The sequence below is a fragment of the Homo sapiens genome, chromosome 21, assembly GCF_000001405.40.
Source record: "Homo sapiens chromosome 21, GRCh38.p14 Primary Assembly".
Lineage (NCBI taxonomy): Eukaryota > Metazoa > Chordata > Mammalia > Primates > Hominidae > Homo > Homo sapiens.
This window is the reverse complement of record NC_000021.9, coordinates 36277837-36300169: the sequence shown is the minus strand read 5'-3', so window position 1 is coordinate 36300169 and position 22333 is coordinate 36277837. Positions and strand designations below refer to the sequence as shown.

The 22333-nt window shown below is 45.9% G+C and overlaps 1 protein-coding gene and 1 pseudogene across 4 annotated transcripts in view, besides 3 other annotated features; one reads left to right on the top strand and one right to left on the bottom strand.

Annotated features, from left to right (window-relative positions):
- Nucleotides 4113-4354: a silencer, noted in NCBI's record as "fragment chr21:37668114-37668355 (GRCh37/hg19 assembly coordinates)". NCBI's record gives its function as "represses an EF-1alpha promoter that drives an FKBP-Casp9 reporter gene in an ReSE screen in K562 erythroleukemia cells {active_cell/tissue: K562}" and the evidence as "EXISTENCE:reporter gene assay evidence [ECO:0000049][PMID:32094911]".
- On the top strand, nt 4378-5339 carry SRSF9P1 (serine and arginine rich splicing factor 9 pseudogene 1; annotated as a pseudogene).
- The window catches only part of DOP1B (DOP1 leucine zipper like protein B), a 137451-nt gene continuing 121013 nt past the window's right edge, over nt 5896-22333 (bottom strand). For 3 of the 4 annotated variants that reach the window (NM_001320714.2, NM_005128.4, XM_017028509.2), the window contains 9 exons: nt 22086-22195; nt 21815-21961; nt 19824-19885; nt 18559-18687; nt 12020-12156; nt 11359-11414; nt 10964-11125; nt 7937-8066; nt 5896-6850 (listed from right to left, as the gene is read on the bottom strand). In NM_001320714.2, the coding sequence (NP_001307643.1) occupies nt 6599-6850; nt 7937-8066; nt 10964-11125; nt 11359-11414; nt 12020-12156; nt 18559-18687; nt 19824-19885; nt 21815-21961; nt 22086-22195 (1185 nt within the window). In that variant the 3' untranslated portion in view covers nt 5896-6598. Of the gene's footprint in view, nt 6851-7936; nt 8067-10963; nt 11126-11358; nt 11415-12019; nt 12157-18558; nt 18688-19823; nt 19886-21814; nt 21962-22085; nt 22196-22333 lie in introns of those variants that run through there. The other variant, XR_937581.4, reaches the window with a different exon arrangement.
- Nucleotides 10328-10377: a silencer, noted in NCBI's record as "silent region_13283". NCBI's record gives its function as "represses an Ori minimal core promoter by ATAC-STARR-seq in GM12878 lymphoblastoid cells {active_cell/tissue: GM12878}" and the evidence as "EXISTENCE:reporter gene assay evidence [ECO:0000049][PMID:35858748]".
- Nucleotides 17823-17942: a silencer, noted in NCBI's record as "silent region_13282". NCBI's record gives its function as "represses an Ori minimal core promoter by ATAC-STARR-seq in GM12878 lymphoblastoid cells {active_cell/tissue: GM12878}" and the evidence as "EXISTENCE:reporter gene assay evidence [ECO:0000049][PMID:35858748]".

Here is a 22333-nt window from a genome sequence, read left to right as displayed (position 1 = left end):
ACTTTGAGAGGCCGAGGTGGGTACATCACTTGAGTCAGGAGTTTGAGATCAGCCTGGGCAACATGGTGAAACCCCATCTCTGCTGAAAATACAAAATTTAGCCGGGCGTGCTGGTGTATGCCTGTAGTCCCAGCTACTCAGGAGGCTGAGGCACAAGAATCACTGGAATCCGGGAGATGGAGATCGCAGTGAGCCAAGATCGTGCCACTGCACTCCAGCCTGGGCAACACAGCGAGACCCTGTCTCAAAAAAAAAAAAAAAAAAAAAAGCATACCAGGAAGAACATCCTCCTGAGCAAAAGGTGGGTGATCAGTGAAATAGCATCTGCCTCGGGGAGATGATTATTAAGATGATGAAAGGTCCAAGTTTGGGGCAGAAAACCCACTGTTCTCTGAGCCCCCACCTGTCTAGTCCTACAAATTAATTGATTAAACATTTGGTTTAGTACCTTCCCCTCTTCCTTCTAGCACCGCCTTGGGCAGATACATCAACCTTCATGTTCGTTTAGTCACGTACCGGGCACCTATATATGCCAGACACCGCTAGGAACCGAAGATATGGACCCTGTTTGTTTCATAAAACAGCTCCTACCTCTCAGCCAGCAATGGGCAACTATGTTAATCATAGGGCCACCCTATGGCAGAGTCCCTCCCTGTACCTGAGGAAGTACAGAAAGAGAGCAAGAAGCTCCTCAAAACCAGAACTCAGCCTGGTTCCCACATATTTGTTAAATAAACCAAAAAATGACTTAACTAGGACTCTGCCAGGTGGAGGAGGAGGATAAAATAATATCAAGCAGATGGAATGGCATATGTTATGAAATGCAAGAGATGATAACGCTGAGTGGTTGGAGGAGGCAGAAGAGATGGATAAGTGGCCGCCAGGAAGGAGGCTAGAAAGAAAGGGCCATCTGTTCCTAAAAGTCATTATTATAACATCAGTTTAGGGTAAAATGTCAAGTGACTTCCATTTCTATAGCCAAAACATTGAAGGGCAAGCTTCTGCTTAATTTGCTACCTCTCATCTGCTTCTAAACACCTCTGAGGATGGGACAGGTGCTTGCTCATCAGAGAAGGGGGAGCCCCGGCTCTCTCCAGCTGCAGAACAATCACACTTGTCTCCCCAGCCCCCACTTTCAGCCCATAGTGTTTTGTTTTTAAATTTTTTCACTGTGGTAAAATATACATAAAATTTTACTATTTACTATTGTAACTTTTTTTTTTTTTTGAGATGGAGTCTTGCTCTGTTGCCCAGGCTGGAGTGCAGTGGTGCAATCTCGGCTCACTGCAACCTCCGCCTCCCAGGTTCAAGCAATTCTCCCGCCTCAGCCTCCTGAATAGCTGGGATTTTAGGCACCCACCACCACGCCTGGCTAATTTTAGTTGCGACGGGGTTTCGCCATATTGGCCAGGCTGGTCTGGAACTCCTGACCTTGTGATCCTCCTGCCTCAGCCTCCCAAAATGCTAGGATTACAGGCGTGAGCCACCATGCCCGGCCGACAGCTGCATTCTTTTACCTCAGAGCATTTAAGACCAAATAGCACAGAAGACTGTCTGCTCCCCAAGACAGTTGTTCAAAACTTTACAGTCTTCATCAATGATCTCCATGATTCCAGCTACTTCTACTGATTTTCAACTGAGCATTGTGTGCAAATACTGGAAAGTAAGGCTTGCTCTCCTTTAAAACACACTTCATCACGCCTTGTAAGCGGGGAACCTCCTCTCTGTGTATGATCTCCCATCTCCTCTGCTGTGGCCCTGGCAGGAGCTGGTTTAGCAGGAAGTCATAACTGGGTGGGGCAGTCTCAGAAACTGTCTCTTCTGCACATGACTAGACAGCCCCGGCTATCTGGTTCCTGTTTAACTTTCTCAGCACTGTGGTTGACAACATAGAGCGCTGGTGAGAGACCTAGGTTTCGATTCTTCACCCTGCTTCTCTGAGCCTCAGTTCTGCTGGCTTTGTAGAATGGGCTAAGGGTCCTTACTTTCTGAGGGGTGGTAAGAAAATCACGCACATGAAGTCCTGAGCACCACCCTGGCTGCTGCGGTAGGGCTCATTTCTTGCCCACATACACAGGGGCTACACCCACACCGGCACTCCCTGAAGATCCGTGTGTTCAACTCTCTGCTCTGTGAGAATTCCCAGTCTGTTCTCATTGTTTGCCACAGCCACCCTTGGCAAACACCAGCCCTTCCAAAACACTGCCTGCCCTTGGTGTAGCGACCCTTTGGTCCTAGGGCCACATATGGCCTACTTCTGGGACAAACTGAGTTATAGCAGTTGTCTCCAAAGAGGGTGCAGAAGCTCATTGTTGGGGGCTAAGAAAAAAATATCAGGCCATCTGTGGTGGCTCACACCTGTAACCTCAGCAATTTGGGATGCCAAGGCAGGAGGATCGCCTGAGCCCAGGAGACTGACCTGGACAACATAGTGAGACTCCTGTGATATGGGTTGGCTCTGTGTCCCCATCCAAATCTCATATAGAATTGTAATCCCCACGTGTTGCTGGTGGGAGGTGATTGAATCATGGGGGCGGTTTTCCCCATGCTGTTCTCATGATGGTGAGTTCTCATGAGATCTCATGGTTTAAAGTGTGTGACAATTCCCCCCTTCACTCTGTCTCCTGCCACCATGTAAGATGTGCCTTGCTTCCCCTTTGCCTTCTGCCATAATTGTAAGTTTCCTGTGGCTTCCCCAGCCATGGAGAACTGTGAGTCGATTAAACCTTTTCTTTATAAATTACCCATGCTCAGGTAGTTCTTTATCGCAGTGTGAAAATGGACTAATACACCCCACCTCTACAAACAATCAAAAAGTTGGCTGGGCATGGTAGTGTGCACCCGTAGCCCCAGCTACTCAGGAGGCTGAGGCAGGAGGATTGCTTTGAGCCCAGGAGTTCGAGGCTGCAGTGAGCTATGATCATGCCAGTCCACTCCAGCCCGGGCAACACAGCAAGACTCTAACTCTAAAATCTAAAAAGAACAAACTGGTAATTTTGTTTGACCTCATTTTTTTTTTCTTTTTTTGGAGATAGAGCCTCACTCTGTCACCCAGGCTGGAGTGCAGTGGGGTGATCACGGCTCAGTGCAATCTCTGCCTTCGGGGCTCAGTCAATCCACCTGCCTTAGCTTCCCAAGTGGCTGAGACTACAGGCTTGCACCACCACACCTGGCTAATTTTTTTGGTATTTTTATAGAGACAGGGTTTCGCCATGTTGCCCAGGCTGGTCTCAAACTCTTGGACTCCAGTAATCCTCCTGCCCTGGCCTCCCAAAGCTAGAATTACAGGCATGAGCCACCACGACTGGCCTGTCCTCATACTTTATTTATTTATTTTTTTTTGAGATGGAATCTTGCCCTGTTGCCAGGCAGGAGTGCAGTGGTGTGATCTCTGCTCACTGCAACCTCCATCTCCCGGGTTCAAGTGATTCTCCTGCCTCAGCCTTCTGAGTAGCTGGGACTACAGGCACGTGCCACCACGCCCAGATAATTCTTGTTTTTTTAGTGGGGACGAGGTTTCACCATGTTGGCCAGGATGGTCTCCATAGCTTGACCTCGTGATCTGCCCGCCTTGGCCTCCCAAAGTGCTGGGAATACAGGCATGAGCCACCACGCCCGGCCCCAGTCCTCATACTTTTAAAATCCCCATCCTCTGTTTTATAAAATACACATGTTGGAACCCAAGTAAATTAATGTAACACACAGCTTATAGATATTGGGGCTGGAGAGATACTTAATTTTTACTGCTGGGTGTATGATCAAAACTGCTTAGAGATCACAGAAGTGGCAGAGCTGGTTAGTTGCTACCACCGTAAGAGGTAGTTACCATTGATATTCCTACCTTAAAGATGAGGAAACTGAGACACAAAATATGCGCAGGACAGTACGTGGGGAAGCTGAGTCAAACCCAGGCACTGCGGAGACTATATCCGTAACTACCGTGCTATATCCTGTGACAAAAGGAAAGATCTAGACGTACATCACGCGTGTAGGACTTTTTTATGAACATGAAGATATGAGTGCTGTTAAATCCCTATCTTTGCAGACATCGCTGTACATAGCTGTAATCCCAGCTACTCAGGAGGCTGAGGCAGGAGAATCGCTTGAACCCAGGAGGCGGAGGTTGCAGGGAGCCGAGATCGCGCCACTGCACTCCAGCCTGGGTGACAGAGCAAGACTCTGTCTCAAAAAAAAAAAAAAAAAAAAAAAAAAATTAGCCGGCCATGGTTAGCTGGCACCTATAATGCCCACTACTTGGGAGGCTGAGGCAGGTGAATCGCTTGAACCCGGGAGGCAGAGGTTGCAGGGAGCCAAGATCACGCCACTGCACTCCAGCCTGGGCGACAGAGAGAGACCCTGTTAGAATAAAACAAAACAGACGCTGCGGGGGCAGCCGTGCTGAGGCGGCAGCGGCGGCGATACGGGCGGATGCGGGCTGCGGCTGGCCAGCAGCGTCGGGCGGTGCGGTTGTCCGGCTGGGCGGACACGAGCGCGGCTGGGAGGGCGACGGGTGCATCTACGTGGGGAAACCTTCCGACCCACGTGCGCGAGAAGGAGCCGCAGGACCTGTTCTACAAGTACAGCCGCATCCGCGAGATCGAGCTCAAGAGCCGGTACGGCCTTGTGCCCTTCGCCTCCGTGCGCTTCGAGGACCCTCGAGATGCAGAGGATGCTATTTATGGAAGAAATGGACTTCTTCCATCAGGCAGCTGGCAGGACCTGAAGGATCACACGCGAGAAGCTGGGGATGCCTGTTACACGGATGTGCAGAAGGATGGAGTGGGGATGGTTGGGTGTCTCAGAAAAGAAGACATGGAATATGCCCTGCGTCAACTGGATGACCAAATTCCACTCTCATGAGGGTGATACTTCCTACATCAGAGTTTATCCTGAGAGAAGCACCAGCTATGGCTATTCAAGGTCTCTATCTGGTTCAAGGGGCCATGACTCTCCATACCAAAGCTGGGGTTCCCCACACTACTCTCAGGCCCTACTGAGACAGGTGATGGGAATTTTTTATTTTTTAGGTTAACTGAGCTGCTTTGTGATCAGAATCTACATTCCAGATGGAGCATTTAGTGTCTTAGGAAATTTTTTTAATTTTTTTTTTTTTTAAAGAAGAAAAGAAACTACATAATTTCTACCAGGGCCATATTAGCAGTGAAACATTTTAAACTGCAGAAATTGTGGTTTTGGTTCAGAAACAAGTTGTATATTTTTCACCCCTGATTATGGGAAAAAAATCAGTTCTGTCTTTGTGGGTTGCTCTGCTATGGAGATCAACAGTTACTGTGACTGAATTGGCCCATTCTGTTTAGAAATATATTTTAAACGTTTAGGGGGAAAAAAGAAAAAAAAGAAAAGAAAAGAACGTGCTGTCAGAAATTTAAAACCCTGTACTTATGTTGTTAAACTGTGCAAACATGAATTTTTTTTTTTTTTTGAGACGGAGTTTCACTCTTGTTGCCCAGGCTGGAGTGCAATGGCACGATCTTGGCTCATGGCAACCTCCGCCTCCCCGGTTCAAGAGATTCTCCGGCCTCAGCCTCCCGAGTAGCTGGGATTACAGGCATGCACCACTATGCCCAGCTAATTTTGTATTTTTAGTAGAGACAGGGTTTCTCCATGTTGGTCAGGCTGGTCTTGAACTCCTGACCTCAGGTGATCTGCCCACCTCGGCCTCCCAAAGTGCTGGGATTACAGGCGTGAGCCACCGCGCCCGGCAAACATGTAATTTTTAATGTGCGAGGTTTGAATACATTGAGGTTATCTTTGAATACATTGAGGTTACCTTACCTCTGCTGAATGGGTAAGGGGCAATTATTGTCCTCAGAAAACAATGTATTTTCGTTTTAAAATGGAGTACCAAAATAAGCACTTTAAAGGACATTTGTGTGAAAGGTTAAAAATAACATTCTTTTAATAAGTTTAAACTTTTAGAGAAAAGAGAAATATACTGAGAAAGACCCATATAACTGCTTCAACAAAGAAAACAACTTCTTCATTATCTTCATACTTTACTTCATATTACAAATTTTGTGCTACTGTTAGATGATATATTAATTTTATTTTCATTACATAAATTGAGGAAGAAATGCAGAATCAGATTCAAATATATTACAAGGCATTTAGGGAGGTGTGTCCTGTTGCTGAACAGTAAATTATCTGAAATCTACTTTTTTTTTTTTTTGGAGATGGTCTCATTCTGTCACACAGCTGGAGTGCAGTGTCGTGATCTCGGCTCACTGCAGCCTCCACCTCCTGGGTTCAAGCAATTCTCATGCCTTAGCCTCCCAAGTAGCTGGGATTACAGGCGCCGCCACCACACCCAGCTAATTTTTGTATTTTTAGTAGAGACAGGGTCTCACCATGTTGGTCAGGCTGGTCTCGAACTCCTGACCTCAAGTGATCTGCCTGCCTTGGCCTCCCAAAGTGCTGAGATTACAGGTGTGAGCCACCGCACCTAGCCTGAAATCTACTTTCAAAATGGAAATAGGCTTGTTCAAAAGCACTATCCTGCCTTCTTTCTTCTTTAGAATATAACCTGGTTTTCAGTAAAGTACCAATACATGGATTAAACATATTCTCTCTCACATGGTTAACATTCTGGATGTTCCAGAAAATCATATTCGATGCATTCTTCCAGTTGTTTTAAGATCCTTGGGCTATCTGTGACAGGAAAGTCCAAGAATGGAGTTCCTGGGCTATCAGCAGGCAGCTGTCTCTGGGTCTTAAATGCACCATTTAGAGTCATGAAGAATGGCATCAACTGCCTGATGCTGGAAACAGAATGTTGGCGCAGAAGCGGGAATTCACTCTTCATGGTGATCTCATCAGAGCTACTGATTTCCTGCAGAAAAAACAAACCCATAACAATGATATGGTTTTACTGAGGGCTCGAGATGGCTGGGAAGCACATGCATGTGGCAAAACCTAAGAAATAAGGTCCTTTTTTTTTTTTTTTGAGACAGAGTCTTGCTCTGTCGCCCAGGCTGGAGTGCAGCAGCGTGATCTTGGCTCACTGCAACCTCTGTCTCCCGGGTTCAAGCGATTCTCTTGCCTCAGCTTCCTGAGTAGCTGGGATTACAGGTACCGGTCACCATGACCAGCTAATTTTTGTATTTTTGTAGAGATGGAGTTTCACCATATTTGCCAGGTTGGTCTTGAACTCCTGACCTCAGGCGATCTGCCCACCTCGGCCTCCCAAAATGCTGGGATTACCAGCCTCATGAATATAATTTTTAAAAAGAAAAGCAGGCTGGACACGGTGGCTCTCGCCTGTAATCCCAACACTTTGGGAGGCTGAAGCAGGCGGATCACCTGAGGTCAGGAGTTCGAGACCAGCCTGACCAATATGGCGAAAACCTGTCTCTACTAAAAATACAAAAATTAGCCCCAAGAGTGGTGGCATGTGCCTGTAGTTCCAACTACTTGGGAAGCTGAGGTGCGGGAATTGCTTGAACCTGGGAGGTGGAGGTTGCAGTGAGCTGAGATCCTGCCATTGCACTCCAGTCTGGGCAACAGAGTGAGACTTCGTCTCAAAAAAAAAAAAAAAAAACCCAAAAACAAAAAAACAAAAATTAGCCAGGCATGGTGGCGTGCGCCTGTAGTTCCAGCTATTCCAGAGGCTGAGAGGAGAATTGCTTGAAACCAGGAGGCTGAGGTTGCAGTGACCTGAGGTTGTGCCACTGCACTCTAGCCTGGGCAACAGAGTGAGATTCCGTCTCAGAACAAAACAAAACAAAATTAGCCAGGTGTGGTGGCACATTCCTGTAATCCCAGCTACTCCGGAAGCTGAGGCAGGAGAATCACTTGAACCTGGGAGGTGGAGGCTGCAGTAAGCGAAGACCGCACCACTGCACTCTAACCTGGGTGGCCGAGTGAAACTCTGTCTCACCAAAAAAAAAAAAAAAGAAAAGAAAAGAAAAGCACTTACCCCAAACTTTAATTTTAGAAGTTCTAGAATCCTGACAGTGTGGGGTTTGCATTCTTGGTGATTCTCCTCTACATCCGACAGGAAGGCAGGGCCCTCTGTGTCCACTTCTGGAATAAATGCCCACCTATAACTGCAGGGAACAAACAGAAGGTCAGGTCTGCTGGTAAGAGGCCTTCAACGTCGTTAAAATTAGTTTTATTAAGATATAATTCACATACTGTATCTATTTAATATGGACAACTCAATGCCTTTTATTATATTCATAGAGTTGCACGTCTATTATCACAATCAATTTTAGAGTATTTCATTACCCCAAAAAGAAATCCTGCCCTGCTCAGCCATCACCACCCCAACCCCCTATACCCTTGAGACCTAGGCACCCACTAATCCACACTCTGTCTCATCGTGGACATTCCATATAAGCAGAATCATACACTATATGTTCCCTTGTTTCGAGCTTTCACTTAGCATCATATTTTCCGGTTCATCCAGATTCCAGCGTGTCTCAGTTCTTCAATTCTTTTTGTTGCTGAACCGTATTCCACTGTATGGATATGTCACATGATCTGCCTGTTCATCAGCTGATGGCCATTTGGGTTGTCTCTACTTCTTGCCTATTATAAATAATGTTGCTATGCACATTCACATATATCGGAACCCACTTTTTTGTTTTTTTGAGACAGTCTCGTTCTGTCGCCCAGTCTGGAGGGCAGTGGTGCAATCTTGGCTCCCTGCAACCTCCACCTCCCAGGTTCAAGCAATTCTCTGCCTCAGCCTCCCGAGTAGCTGGGATTACAGGCACCTGCCACCATGCCTGACTAATTTTTTTGTATTTTTAGTAGAGACGGGGTTTCACCATCTTGGCCAGGCTGGTCTTGAACTCCTGACCTCGTGATCCACCTGCCTCAGCCTCCTAAAGTGCTGGGATTACAGGCATGAGCCACTGCGCCTAGCCTCCACTTTTTTTTGGTTTGAGATGCAGTTTCGCTCTTTCGCCCAGGCTGGAGTGCAGTGGTGCGATCTCGGTTCACTGCAACCTCCGCCTTCGGTTTCAAGCGATTCTCCTGCCTCAGCCTCTTGAGTAGCTGGGATTACAGGTGCCCACCAATACAGGCAGCTAATTTTTGCATTTTTAGTAGAGACAGGGTTTCACCATGTTGGCCTGGCTGGTCTTGAACTCCTGACCTCATGATCCGCCTGCCTCGGCCTCCCAAAGTGCTGGGGTTACAGACATGAGCCACTGTGCCCGGCCTCTTTTTTTTTTGAGGGGGAGTCTCGCTCTGTTGCCTAGGCTGGAGTGCAGTGGTGCGATGTCGGCTCACTGCAACCTCTGCCTCTCGGGTTCAAGTGATTCTCCTTCCTCAGCTTCCGAAGTAGCTGGGATTACAGGCGCCCACCACCACATCTGGCTAATTTTTGTATTTTTTTTTTTTTTTGAGATGGAGTCTCGCTTTTGTTGCCCAGGCTGGAGTGCAATGGCAGATGGCATGATCTTGGCTCACTGCAACCTCTGCCTCCCAGGTTCAAGCGATTCTCCTGCCTCAGCCTCCCAAGTAGCTGGGATTACAGGCATACGCCACCATGCCCAGCTAATTTTGTATTTTTAGTAGAGATGGATTTTCTCCATGTTGGTCAGGCTGATCCCAAACTCAGGTGATCCAACCACCTTGGCCTCCCAAAGTGCTGGGATTACAGGTGTGAGCCATCGCGCCTGGCCTAATTTTTGTATTTTTAGTAGAGACAGGGTTTTTCACCATGTTGGCCGGGCTGGTCTTGAACTCCTGGCCTCAAGTGATCCACCCACCTTGGCCTCCCAAAGTGCTGGGATTACAGGTGTGAGCCACGGTACCTGGCCTAATTTTTGTGTTTTTAGTTGAGACAGGGTTTCGCCATGTTGGCCAGGCTGGTCTCGAACTCCCAACCTCAGGTGATCCACCCGCCTCAGCCTCCTAAAGTGCTAGTATTACACGTATGAGACACCACGTCCGGCCCAAACCTGCTTTTTAAAAACTAAAAGACTTTCTTTTGCAGAACAGCTTTAGGTTCACAGCAAAATGGAGTAGAAAGTAGTTCCCGTACATCCCATCCTACATACATACAAGCCTGCCGTATTATCAACATCCTGCACCAGAGTGGTACATTTGTTAAAACTGAAGAGCCTCTACTGACTCACTGTTATCCTCCCAAGTCCAGAGTTTACATCAGGGTTCACTCTTGGTGGTGTACATTGTATGGATTTGGAGAAATGGACAATGACATGGATCTACCATTATAGCTCTGTATGCAATAATTTCACTGCCCTAAAAATCCTCTGTGCTTCACCCATTCATCCCTGCCTCCCTCTCCCCAACCCCTGGCGACCACTGATCTTTTTACTGTCTCCATGGTTTTGCCTTTTCCAGAATGTCACATGGTTGGAATCATACAGTGTGTAGCCTTTTCAGACTGGCTTCTTTCACTTAGCAATGTGCATTTAAGAGAACCCGCTCTTTAACCACAAACATTTCTATATGATTACTCTCTTTGTGGGGGTAGGAGAGAGAGAAATAGCCTCTGGGGCTGGTCATGAAATTAAACAAATGAGCAGCTGTGCTAAGCCGGCAGGAAACATAAGCCTATGGGGCAAAGTGAATCGGAGATGGCAGGCTCCAAATAAAGGCATTTGTATCTAACTAAACACAGACAAAAAGGTCTACACAAAGGCAGTGAGGAGCACCAGTGGGTAAGCCCTGTTTTATAAGCATTCAGTAGCAAAAACCACACACACACACACACACACACACACACACACACACACACACACACACACCATAGAAACACATTCATAAACACTCCTGTGAGCCAAATTTGCAGAGCCACAGATGTTGCAAGTAATCTGAAACTTGGTATTCCGAGCTGGCTTAGCTGTCACTAGAAACCCAGATGGTGGTTTCCCATAAACTGTACATGAAAAACAAGTGAAAGTGCTTAAAAGGAAAAAACAAAATCTCTTACTTCAAAAAGGACACACGATCCTATCTGACTTACATTTGAAATAATGGCATCTTGTCAGGTGGAAAAGAAAGCGCTGTGTCCAAGAATTTGCAAGCTGATAAATACAAGATGAGTTCACTCTGGGGTATCTCCCCCACTGAGGGTCCATTTGCATCCGGGACTGAAACTTTCGTTCTGTTTACTTTGTTGGTGCTTCTATAAATTTGCAAAGAAACGCTTGTTATAAATTCATTCAGATCTGTTATAGTCCATTCACCTATGACCTGTCCCTCAGAAGAATTTTCTTTTTAAGAAATTTTTGGAATAGCTGGTCCTTTCACAAGTACTTCAAGATAACAGCATTTAACATTAGACAACTCTATATCTAAAGTGACGTGCTTTAATCGTGACTATCTTTTCCTCTTGTGTACAGATCTTGTACTGCTTACCTCAATGACTCATCTTCATCTTTTAGATCTTCTTCAAGCTGTGTGAATGTCTGAATCTGAAAAAAAAATGCATTCAAGTTACTATCTGAGACAGATTAAATCTACCCAAATATTTTTTTTTACTTATTTTTAAAAATCGATTAATTTATGAATGAATGAATAAGACGGGGTCTTACTCTGTCACCCAGTCTGGAGTGCAGTGGTACAATCATGGCTCACTGCAGCCTCAACCTTCTGCAGATGCAACTTCCCGCCATGCCGAATTAATTTTTGTATTTTTTTGTAGACAAGGAGTTTCACCATGTTGCCCAGGCTAGTCTCGAACTCCTGGGCTCAAGTGATCCATCCACCTTAGCCTCCCGAAGTGCTGGGATTACAGGCATAAGCTACCACGCCCAGCCCAAATTTATATGTATATAAAAAACTAGTAAGTATTATCAAATGGTACAAGTTAGTTGGAATAACTGACAGGGTGAGAGATCAAATATGATCATAGAGTAAAATATTCTCTGTTTAACCAAGAGCTAACCATGTGCTACCAACCTGATTAAAAATAACATTTAGATAAAATGGGATACATAGGAAATAGTACGTTATGTTACTGAAAAAGCATTTTAAAAAGCTCCAACCTTGCTTTCAAACTTACAATACTTGTACTCACCAATTCAGAGACCATTATTGGCCACAATGAAGTCAAATGTTGAGGAGATATTCTTAGCAGCAAAACTCTGAAAAAAAGAAACATCTGAGCAGCAACTATGGATGTCTGTCCAACTCTGAGATTGTCTGTCAGGCGTTCTAAGGAAAGAAGATTGTAAAGATGTTACACAAATATGCAGTTTAGGGTTTCTTATCAGACAAAGAAAAATAAAACTGTGACTGTTCTGACATTCTAGTAACAACCCAGTGTAAGGAATGAGTGTTACAGGCCAGGCTTGGTGGCTCGCACTTGTAATCCCAGCACTTTGGGAGGCCGAGGCGGGCGGATAACAAGATAAGGAGTTCGAGGCCAGCCTGGCCAATATGGTAAAACCCCATCTCTACTAAAAATACAAAAATTAGTCGGGCGTGGTGGTGGGCGCCTGTAGTCCCAGCTACTTGGGAGGCTGAGGCAGGAGAATCGCTTGAACCTGGGAGGTAGAGGTTGCAGTGGGCCGAGATCACACCACTGCACTCCAGCCTGGGTGACAGAGTGAGACTCCATCTCAAAAAAAAAAAAAAAAAAAAAAAAAGAATGTTAGGAGATGCTTTTGTGCAACTAGTCCACCCCAGCCCTCTTCTTTGTGAAATACAGCAGTTCATGGCTCTTGCCAAACCTAAGGAAATGATTCCCACAGGCCGTCCCCCTGCCACAGCTGAGTAGAAAGACATGAACATCTGTCACCAGAAATCCACTGGATGACCAACAGCCATTTCAATGTTCTTTTAAGAATATGAATGAGGAGACGCAGAAACCAAGCAGCCCATGGTGAGGAATGGACTTACACAATCATATGGACTGGCTGGCAGACAACACCATATTTTGAGGGTGGTGGGTGGGAAGCGGAGCAAGTAAATATAACAGATTTACTGAGTAAGGTTTAAACTTGATGGCCATGACAAAAACTTTCATTCCTATGGAGGGAAAAGTGTTTCAAATAACACTCTCTAGCCCCTAACACTCTCCCCTGCTTCTCCCCTGAAATGTCTTGTTTGTAGAATGAGACTTTTTTTTTCTTCCATAGCTTAAGGTTTCCTAGGAATGTAACAAATTGCTACAGCAAACAGCTGAATGGTAGTCATGCTAGCTAAGATCGGCTGTAGTACATTAGTACATTAGTATATTAGTAATAAATTTTTTTTTTTTTTGAGATGGAGTCTCACTCTGTTGCCCAGGCTAGAGGGCAGCAGAGCAGTCTCCGCTCACTACAACCTCCGCCTCCCGGGTTCAAGCAATTCTCCTGCCTCAGCCTCCAGAGTAGTTGGGATTACAGGTGTCTGCCACCATGCCCGGCTAATTTTTTGTATTTTTAGTAGAGATAGGGTTTAGCCATGTTGGCCAGGCTGATCTTTTAACTCCTGACCTCAGATGATCCACCTGCCTTGGACTCCCAAAGTGCTGGGATTACAGGCGTGAGCTGCCATGCTCAGTCAGTTTTGTGTGTGTGTGTGTGTGTGTGTGTGTGTGTGTGTTTTTGAGATGGAGTCTTACTCTGTCACTCAGGCTGGAGTACAGTGGTGCGATCTCGGCTCACTGCAGCCTCTGCCTCCTGGGTTCAAATGATTCTCATGCCTCAGCTTCCCGAGTAGCTGGGATTATAGGCACCCACCACCACACCCAGCTAATTTTTGGTATTTTTAGTAGATATGGGGTTTCACCATGTTGGCCATGCTGGTCTTGAACTCCTGACCTCACGTGATCTGCCCTCCTTGGCTTCTCAAAGTGCTGGGATTACAGGCATGAGCCACCGCGCCTGTCTTTGACCTTTCTTTTTTGTGGTAAGAGCACCTAAAATCTACTCTCTTGGCAAATTCCCAGTACATATGCAGTGTTATTAACGACAGTCCTCATGTTGTACATGCCTTTTCTAGACTTACTCATCCTCCATAATTGCACCTTCGTATCCTTTCACCTACATCTTCCCAGCCCCCAAAGACGTAAGACTGATGTCACTCTGAGCCGAGACATACAGAGCTGCTCAGCTCCCCATCTCCTTCTCTGCTACTCGATGGTGCAACAGTGTCCGGGGAAAAGGACCCCAAACGGTATCCCAGGAGAGAAGTGTTAGAAATTCTCCACTCCTGTCTCTTTTTTTTTTTTGAGATGGAGTCTCACTCACTCTGTCACCCAGGCTGGAGTGCAGTGGCGCGATCTCGGCTCATTGCAACCTCCGCCTCCAGGGTTCAAGCAATTCTCCTGCCTCAGCCTCCCAAGTAGCTGGGATTATAGGCGCCTGAAACCATGCTCAGCTAACTTTTTGTATTTTTAGTAGAGGTGGGGTTTCACCATGTTGGCCAGGTTGGTCTTGAACTCCTGACCTCAAGTGACCTGCCCACCACAGCCTCCCAAGGTGCTGGGATTACAGGCCACTGTGCCCAGCCTCCTGCCTCTTTTAATTGGGCCCAAACTATTTACTATGGGACACTTCTTGGGAGCTTCTGGATGCATCTACCTCTCTGAGGCAGATGTGGGCATCATCCCTCCACAGGGCATCTCCAGGCAAGTTCAGTGTCCCACAGCTCTGGCAGAGGACACTCTGAGTGCCATCAACCCAGGACTCAGGGGGGCTGGGCCTATCCACGAGCATCCTGGGGACAACGACAACATGTAGGAAAGTGCTCTGTAAACTGTCAGTTCATCAAAAATGAAAACAGGGCAAAAGGCTTATTTTTTAAAAACACGTAGTATTTTTAGAAATATAGCACTTGAGCTATCCAAAACGAAGCGTATTTATTTAGAAATTCTTTTTCCCGGCCAGACATGGTGGCTCATGCCTGTAATCCCAGCACTTTGGGAGGCTGAGGCGGGTGGATCACTTGAGGTCAGGAGTTCGAGACCAGCCTGGCCAACATGGTGAAACCCTATCTCTACTAAAAATACAAAAATAAGCCAGGCATGGTGGTGGGTGCCTGTAATCCCAGCTACTTGAGAGGCTGAGGCAGGAGAATCACTTGAACCTAGGAGGCGGAGGTTGCAGTGAGCCAAGATTGTGCCACTGCACTCCAGCCTGGGCAACAGAGTGAGACTCCGTTCCCCTCCCAACAACAACAAAAAAATTTCTCTTTTCCCAAGAGCCCAAAACCTACCTCCATTTTCAGTTAGCATTCTGCTGCCTTTATTGCATATTTGAATATATAATATAAACAAGTATATTGTTATATAGTATAATATTTAATATTACTATTTATATAATCATTACCTATTAGTTATTACAATCATGTCAATATAATACAAATATAATAATTACATGTTACAATGTCATATAATTATATAACATATTAATATATTATGTAAAACATGTTTTTTATATATATATTCTATTATATTGCCTGTGCTTGCTCCCTCTCAGAGAAATAATTTCTCAGAATTGCTGGGTGTTTAAACTCTACCATGGTCAAATTCTCCACACCCCTGTTTCAGAATGTTGTCTATCTTTTTGTTTTTTTGGTTCTAGCTTCTATACACCTAATGCTGTCTATTTAGCTATCTGGGCTTCCTCCCAAATTTGAGAGGAGTGTGAGATGGGGTAGAAAGAAGGAACAGGGCTGGGCGCAGTGGCTCATGCCTGTAATCCCAGCACTTTGGGAGGCCGAGGCAGGTGGATCACGGGGTCAGGAGTTTGAGACCAGCATGACCAACATGGTGAAACCCTGTCTCTACTAAAAATACAAAAATTAGCTGGGCGTGGTGTTGTGTGCCTGTAATCTCAGCTACTCAGGAGGCTGAGGCAGGAGAATTGCTTGAACCCGGGAGGCAGAGATTGCAGTGAGCAGAGATTGCACCACTGCACTCCAGCCTGGGCGACAGAGCGAGACTCCGTCTCAAAAAAAAAAAAAAAAAAAAAAAGAAAGAAGGAACAGGTGGTTGGCCACGGTGGCTCATGCCTGTAATCCCAGCACTTTGGGAGGCCAACACAGGCGGATCACTTGAGGTCAGGAGTTTGAAATCAGCCTGGTCAACATGGCGAAACCCCATCTCTACTAAAAGTACAAAAAAATTAGCTGAGTGTGGTGGCTGGTGCCTGTAATCTCAGCTACTTTGGAGGCTGAGGCAGGAGAATTGCTTGAACCTGGGAGGTGGAGGTTGCAGTGAGCCGAGATTGTGCCACTGTACTCCAGCCTGGGTGACAGAGCAAGACTCCATCTCAAAGGAAAAAAAAAAAAAAAAAAAAAAAAGGAACAGGTGTCTGCTCTTAGACTGAAAAGGCACTGAAAGGGTTATCAGGTACATTGCCCAATATGCTCTCCTTTTCATTTTCCTCCACTGAGAAAGTAGGCTTACTGCTTCCCTTAGGGCCACTGTCTAGTGGTTGGGTTCATAAAGAATCCTCCCCTATACTGCACATGAACTAAAGAAAAGGTGATTCCTGTTGTTCTTTTTCTCTCCAGATTTTGTAGGGAGGCAACAAAGTTCAGCTCTGACCTTGCATTTAGCCACAGTCTTTGGAGAGCTGACATTACCTTTACTGGTGCTCCTGGTTACCGTCTGATTAAATCATCCTCCTATCACAGTTATTCAAGCAAGGCACGCCAACTGGACTTGTTAATATTTGAAAGTTTTCTTTCATGTTTCTTAAGTGTTCAAGATATTACAAGGTAAAAATCTTATGTGCACTACATGCGGAAATTATGTCAGTTAAAGTGTAAAGGTGTTTTATTATTGCATATGTAAGTTATCATGACTAACGAGTCAACGCTGTTAATGCTTTGAACTAAAACAAGATCTTTCCGGCTGGGTGCGGTGGCTCATGCCTGTAATCCAAGCACTTTGGGAGGCCAAGGTGGGCAGATCACCTGAGGTCAGGAGTTCGCGACCAGCCTGGCCAACATGGTGAAACCCTGTCTCTACTAAAAAAATTCAAAAATTAGCCGGACATGGTGGTGGGTGCCTGTAATCCCAGCTACTTGGAGGCTGAGGCAGGAGAATCACTTGAACCTAGGAGGCGGAGGTTTCAATGAGGCGAGACTGCGCCACTGCACTCCAGCCTGGGTGACAGAGGGAGACCCTGGCTCAAAATGAAAACAAAAACAAAACAGAATGTCAACTTTGCCACCTGAACATTTTATGAGAAGGAAAAAAAAAAAAAAACCCTGACAATCACGTACGATGTTGGCAATAATAATAACAATTTATTTATTTATTTTTGCAATGGAGTCTCTCTCTGTCACCCAGGCTGGAGTGCAGTGGCACAATCTCGGCTCAGTGCCTACCAGGTTCAAGCGATTCTCCTGCTTCTGCCTCCCCAGTAGCTGGGATTATAGGCATGAGTCACCACACCAGGCTTATTTTTGTATTTTTAGTAGAGATGGGGTTTTACCACATTGGGCAGGCTGATGTCAAACTCCTGACCTCAAGAGATCCACCCGCCTTGGCCTCTGAAAGTGCTGGGATTACAGGCGTGAGCCACCGTGCCCAGTCAGCAATAATTATTTTTGATGCAGTCAAAGAATGTAGTGGGGATGAAAAAAAAATTGTTAAGGAAAAATTAGATCCTTCTCCAAAATCTTGCCCCTTCCCTGGCCTCAGCTGAAGGTGCTGATTAAGGGAGTACTGTAAACACCGAGTACCTTGACTGCAGGAGGACTCTAGCAAGAGACAGTGCTGAGGAAGTATTATTCCTATACTGTGGTCAGACTTTTAAAAACTAATACAAATTAATAACACTGTAATTGATTTTATTATGTATTTATTTAGAGACAGAGTTTCGCTCTTGTTGCCCAGGCTGGAGTGCAGTGGTGTGATCTTGGCTTACTGCAACCTTGGCCTCCTGGGTTTAAGTGATACTCCTGCCTCAGCCTCAAGTAGCTGGGATTACAGGTGCGCACCATCACGCCTGGCTAATTTTGTATTTTTAGTAGAGATGGGGTTTCACCACGTTGGTCAGGCTGGTCTTGAACTCCTGATCTCAAGTCATCCACCCACCTGGGCCTCCCAAAGTGCTGGGATTACAGGCATGAGCCACTGTACCTGACCTATAATTGATTTTAAAATAAAGTTTCAGATTTACCAATATACTTCTGAAGTTCTATAACTCTGCAGAATACTTGTTTTAACAAGTGACAATCATGCCAAAGCACGCAGTAGACCCCTCTAGTACTTAATCATCTCAGCCCCTCATGGGTCTATCTGTGTGTGGGGGCAGTGAGGGCAGGTCAGCTGTTGCTGTGGTTTGAATGTTTGTCCTGTCCAAAATGCATGCTCAAATTTTATTGTAAATGTAATGTTATCGGGAAGTGGGGCCTTTAAGAGGTGATTAGGCCACATCATGGATGGGATTGGTACTGTAATAAAAGGGCAGGTTCAGCCCCCTCTTGCTCTTTTGCCTTTCCACCTTCTGCCATAGGATGTTGCAGCAAGAAGGCCCTTGCCAGACGCCAGCCCTGGATATAGGACTTCTCAGCCTCCAGAACTGTGAGGCAATAAATTTCTGTTTTTATAAATTCCCCAGTCTCAGGTATTCTGTTATAGCAGCAAAAAACAGACTAAGACAGCTGTCTTACCTTGTATCAGTGGAAGGTAAAGGTGGTATTGATCAAGTTCTCCACTGAAGACAGCAAAAGCCTGGCGCTTTAACAGCATGGCTTTCTGTTCAAAACTTGAGAATAGTTTCAAAGAACTGCTCTGCATGTCTAGAATAAATACAGCAATGTTTTACTTAGTGAGAAAACCACAATTGGAGGGAAGTGATGGGAAATTCATACTAGTGTAATTCTATATTCCCTGGTGAAAAATCATGATCTTTATTAAGTAAGGACATGAGATTACTGTTCCCATGTATATTTAAAAAATAGTTATTTCTCTTTTTATTTCTTATTTGAGACAGGATCTCATTCTATCACCCAGCCTGGAGTGCAGTGGTGGGATCACAGCTCACTGCGGCCTCGACCTCCTGGGTTCAAGCGATCCTCCTGCCTCAGTCTCCCAAGTAGCTGGGACTACAGGTGCGTGCCACAGTGCCTGGTTAATTTTTTGTAGAGATGGGGTTTCGCTATGTTGCCCAGGCTGGTCTTGAACCCCTGGGCTCAAATGATCCACCCACCTCAGCCACTCAAAGTGCTGGGATTGGCGTGAGCCACTGTGCCCAGCCAATACTTATTTTTTTATTTTTTTGAGAAGGATTTTCGCTCTGTCGCCCAGGCTGGAGTGCAGTGGCACGATCTTGGCTCACTGTAATCTCTGCCTCCCGGGTTCATGCCATTCTCCTGCCTCAGCCTCCCGAGTAGCTGGGACTACAGGCGCCCGCCACTATGCCTGGCTATTTTTTGTATTTTTAGTAGAGACGGGGTTTCACCGTGTTAGCCAGGATGGTCTCGATCTCCTGACCCTGTGATCCGCCCATCTCAGCCTCCCAAAGTGCTGGGATTACAGGCGTGAGCCACCGTGCCCAGCCCAATACTTATTTCTTTAATGATACTTAATGATAGTGCATGAGAAGGGATCTGAGGTGTAGAAAAGTCCTCCTAGTAAATTATAGAAACTTATTACTTTCAGCACAAATGTCAAGATGTGAAGCTGGATGCTTTCGGCAGTATTTCTCCACTATAAAACTATGAAAAAGGTTGTCGTGGCGTTCTTGTCAATAAATTGCAACTGGAAAAGACTCATTGATTTAGTCCTGCCATATTATGAACATCACATTACAGTCTTTGTGGCGTAGACAGCACCATGAAAGTGTGAGTAGGGTTCGGAAATACATGATGAAAGCTGGTTATATTGGCATTGATCCTATCAAGTGTGAGTTATGCAAAAGTAACACAGAACTTACTCATTAAATCCTTAAACATTGTTTTCTCATGAGTCAAAAGATGGTCAATAATGGACTTCCAACTGGATATTAAAGAAAGCAAAATCAATTAAATTTGCAGTGGATGATAGTTTGATTCAAAACATTAAGAAAATAACATATCCTCTTAAGATATATTAAAAACTGCTTTCTGGGCCAGGTGCAGTGGCTCACGCCTATAATCCCAGCACTTTGGGAGGCCGAGGTGGGCGGATCACCTGAGGTTGGGAGTTCAAGACCAGCCTGAGCAACATGGAGAAACCCTGTCTCTACTAAAAATACAAAATTAGCAGGGCGTGGTGGCGCATGCCTGTAATCCCAGCTACTCAGGAGGCTGAGGCAGGAGAATCGCTTGAACCCGGGAGGTGGAGGTTGTGGTGAGCTGAGATTGTGCCATAGCACTCTAGCCTGGGCAACAAGAGCAAAACTCCATCTCAAAAACAAACAAACAAAAAAACTGCTTTCTGAAAAGAGGTTAGTGATAGAAATAAATAGTTTACATATAAAAGAAAGCTACGAAAAAGCTTTTCATTTATAACCCTAACATAGGGAATGAATGATGACTTTTTCCAGTTTACCACAAAGAAACAAACTGACAAGGCACTCTGGCTTTTTCAAGGGTTATTCTTAAATATGTTCATACAGGATGATATTCACACAGTTGTGTTGATGAAAAGAGTGGGATAGTGAAGACAAATACCACCCTTAGCTTTTCTTTCCAAATGAGCTACCCCAGCAGAGCAACAAGATCACGTGGAGGGAGGCCACAGGGCCACCAGCAGCCCTCTGGGGGTGGCCATGCTTTCATGCCATACAAAAAGGGTTCCCAATCTCTACCCTCTATCGCTAAGCCTTCCTGTCATTAATAAAGGAGTGGCTTTCTTTCTTTCTTTCTGGTTATTTTGAGACAGGGCCCAGGGTCGTGTGCTGTCACCCAGGCTGGAGTGCAGTGGCACAATCACAGCTCACTGCAGCCTCAACCTCCTGGGCTCAAGCGATCCTCCTGCCTCAGGCTTCCATGTAGCTGGGACCACAGGCATATGCCCGCATGCCTGGCTAATTTTTTTGATTTTTTTTTTTTGTAGAGATGGGGTTTCACTTTGTTGCCCAGGCTGGTCTCCAACTCCTGGGCTCAAGCAATCCTCCTGCCTAAGCCTCCCAAAATGTTGGATTACAGGTGTGAGCCACCATGACCAGCCCTGAGTGATTTTCTTTATCTCAGGAAAAGGCCCAGGAGCACATCTTGCATCTGAGTCTCAGTGGATCTCTGCTTGGCTGCTGCAAGATCTCAGTAAGAACTTGTGGAGTATCAGCCGAGAAGTGGGGTAAAGACACCCCCAGGGTCACCCAGTGGGCTCTGTCATCTTAACACTGGCCAATTATTTTGTGATTACAAGACAAAGCAGTATTAGATAGAACAAGTATCACTGGAACCCCAAGTTCTGCTGTTTATTTATTTGAGACAGAGTTTCACTCTTGTTGCCCAGGCTGGAGTGCAGTGGTGGGATCTTGACTCACTGCAAGCTTCACTTCCCAGGTTCAAGCGATTCTCATACCTCAGCCTCCCGAGTAGCTGGAACTACAGGTGTGCGCTGCCATGCCCGGCTAATTTTTGAATTTTTTTGTAGAGACGGGGTTTCGCCATGTTGGCCAGGCTGGTCTCGAACTCCTGGGCTCAGGTGATCCACCCACCTTAGCCTCCCAAAATGCTGGGATTACAGGCATGAGCCACCGTGCCCAGCCAGGAAATAACATGCTCTCTGAATTAAGTGATATTCCTCTTTGTACTTTAAAAGACTTGATCCCTTTCCCATGAACACATGGTCAACATGCGAGCCTGTGACAGGGACGTCCTGTTATTTGGGTTGATCCTATGGCTCTGCTTCTATTTCAGGAATGAGAATTCTGTAAACCAAAATGCCATTTCCACCTGAAGATTCAGAGCACGTTGTTATCAGGACAGCATATCTTACTGAACACAGGAAGTATCCATCTGAAAGAAAGCGGGGTCGAGAAACAGCTCCAGGACCTCCTTCCTCCAGGCTCGCTTTGTGTAGGCATAGCCACTCAGGGAGCTCAGCAGCTGAGCGCCAGCCCGGAAGCTGGGAGCATTGTAGGCACTGAGTGGGAGTGGGAAGAGAGAAGGGTCAAGGTCAAGGACTGTCCAAGGAAAACTACTTGATTCATTTGTGAAAACATATTTTTCTGCATATGGGTGGGAAGAAATGGCGAAGATGACGTTACCTGTGGTTGCGTAAGTATGGAAAAACATAGTAAAGCAGACGGGAGATTAACGGCACAGCTTTCTCCTTCTCATCACTTCGATAAACCATGTCCAGGAGGGAAGCCAGTACCTAAAAGAACAAGGCCCTAAGAAAACAGAAACTGGCCAGGTGCGACGGCTCACACCTGTAATCCCAGCACTTCGGGAGGCTGAGGAGGGCGGATCACTTGAGGCTGGGAGTTTGAGACCAGTCTGGCCAACATGGTGA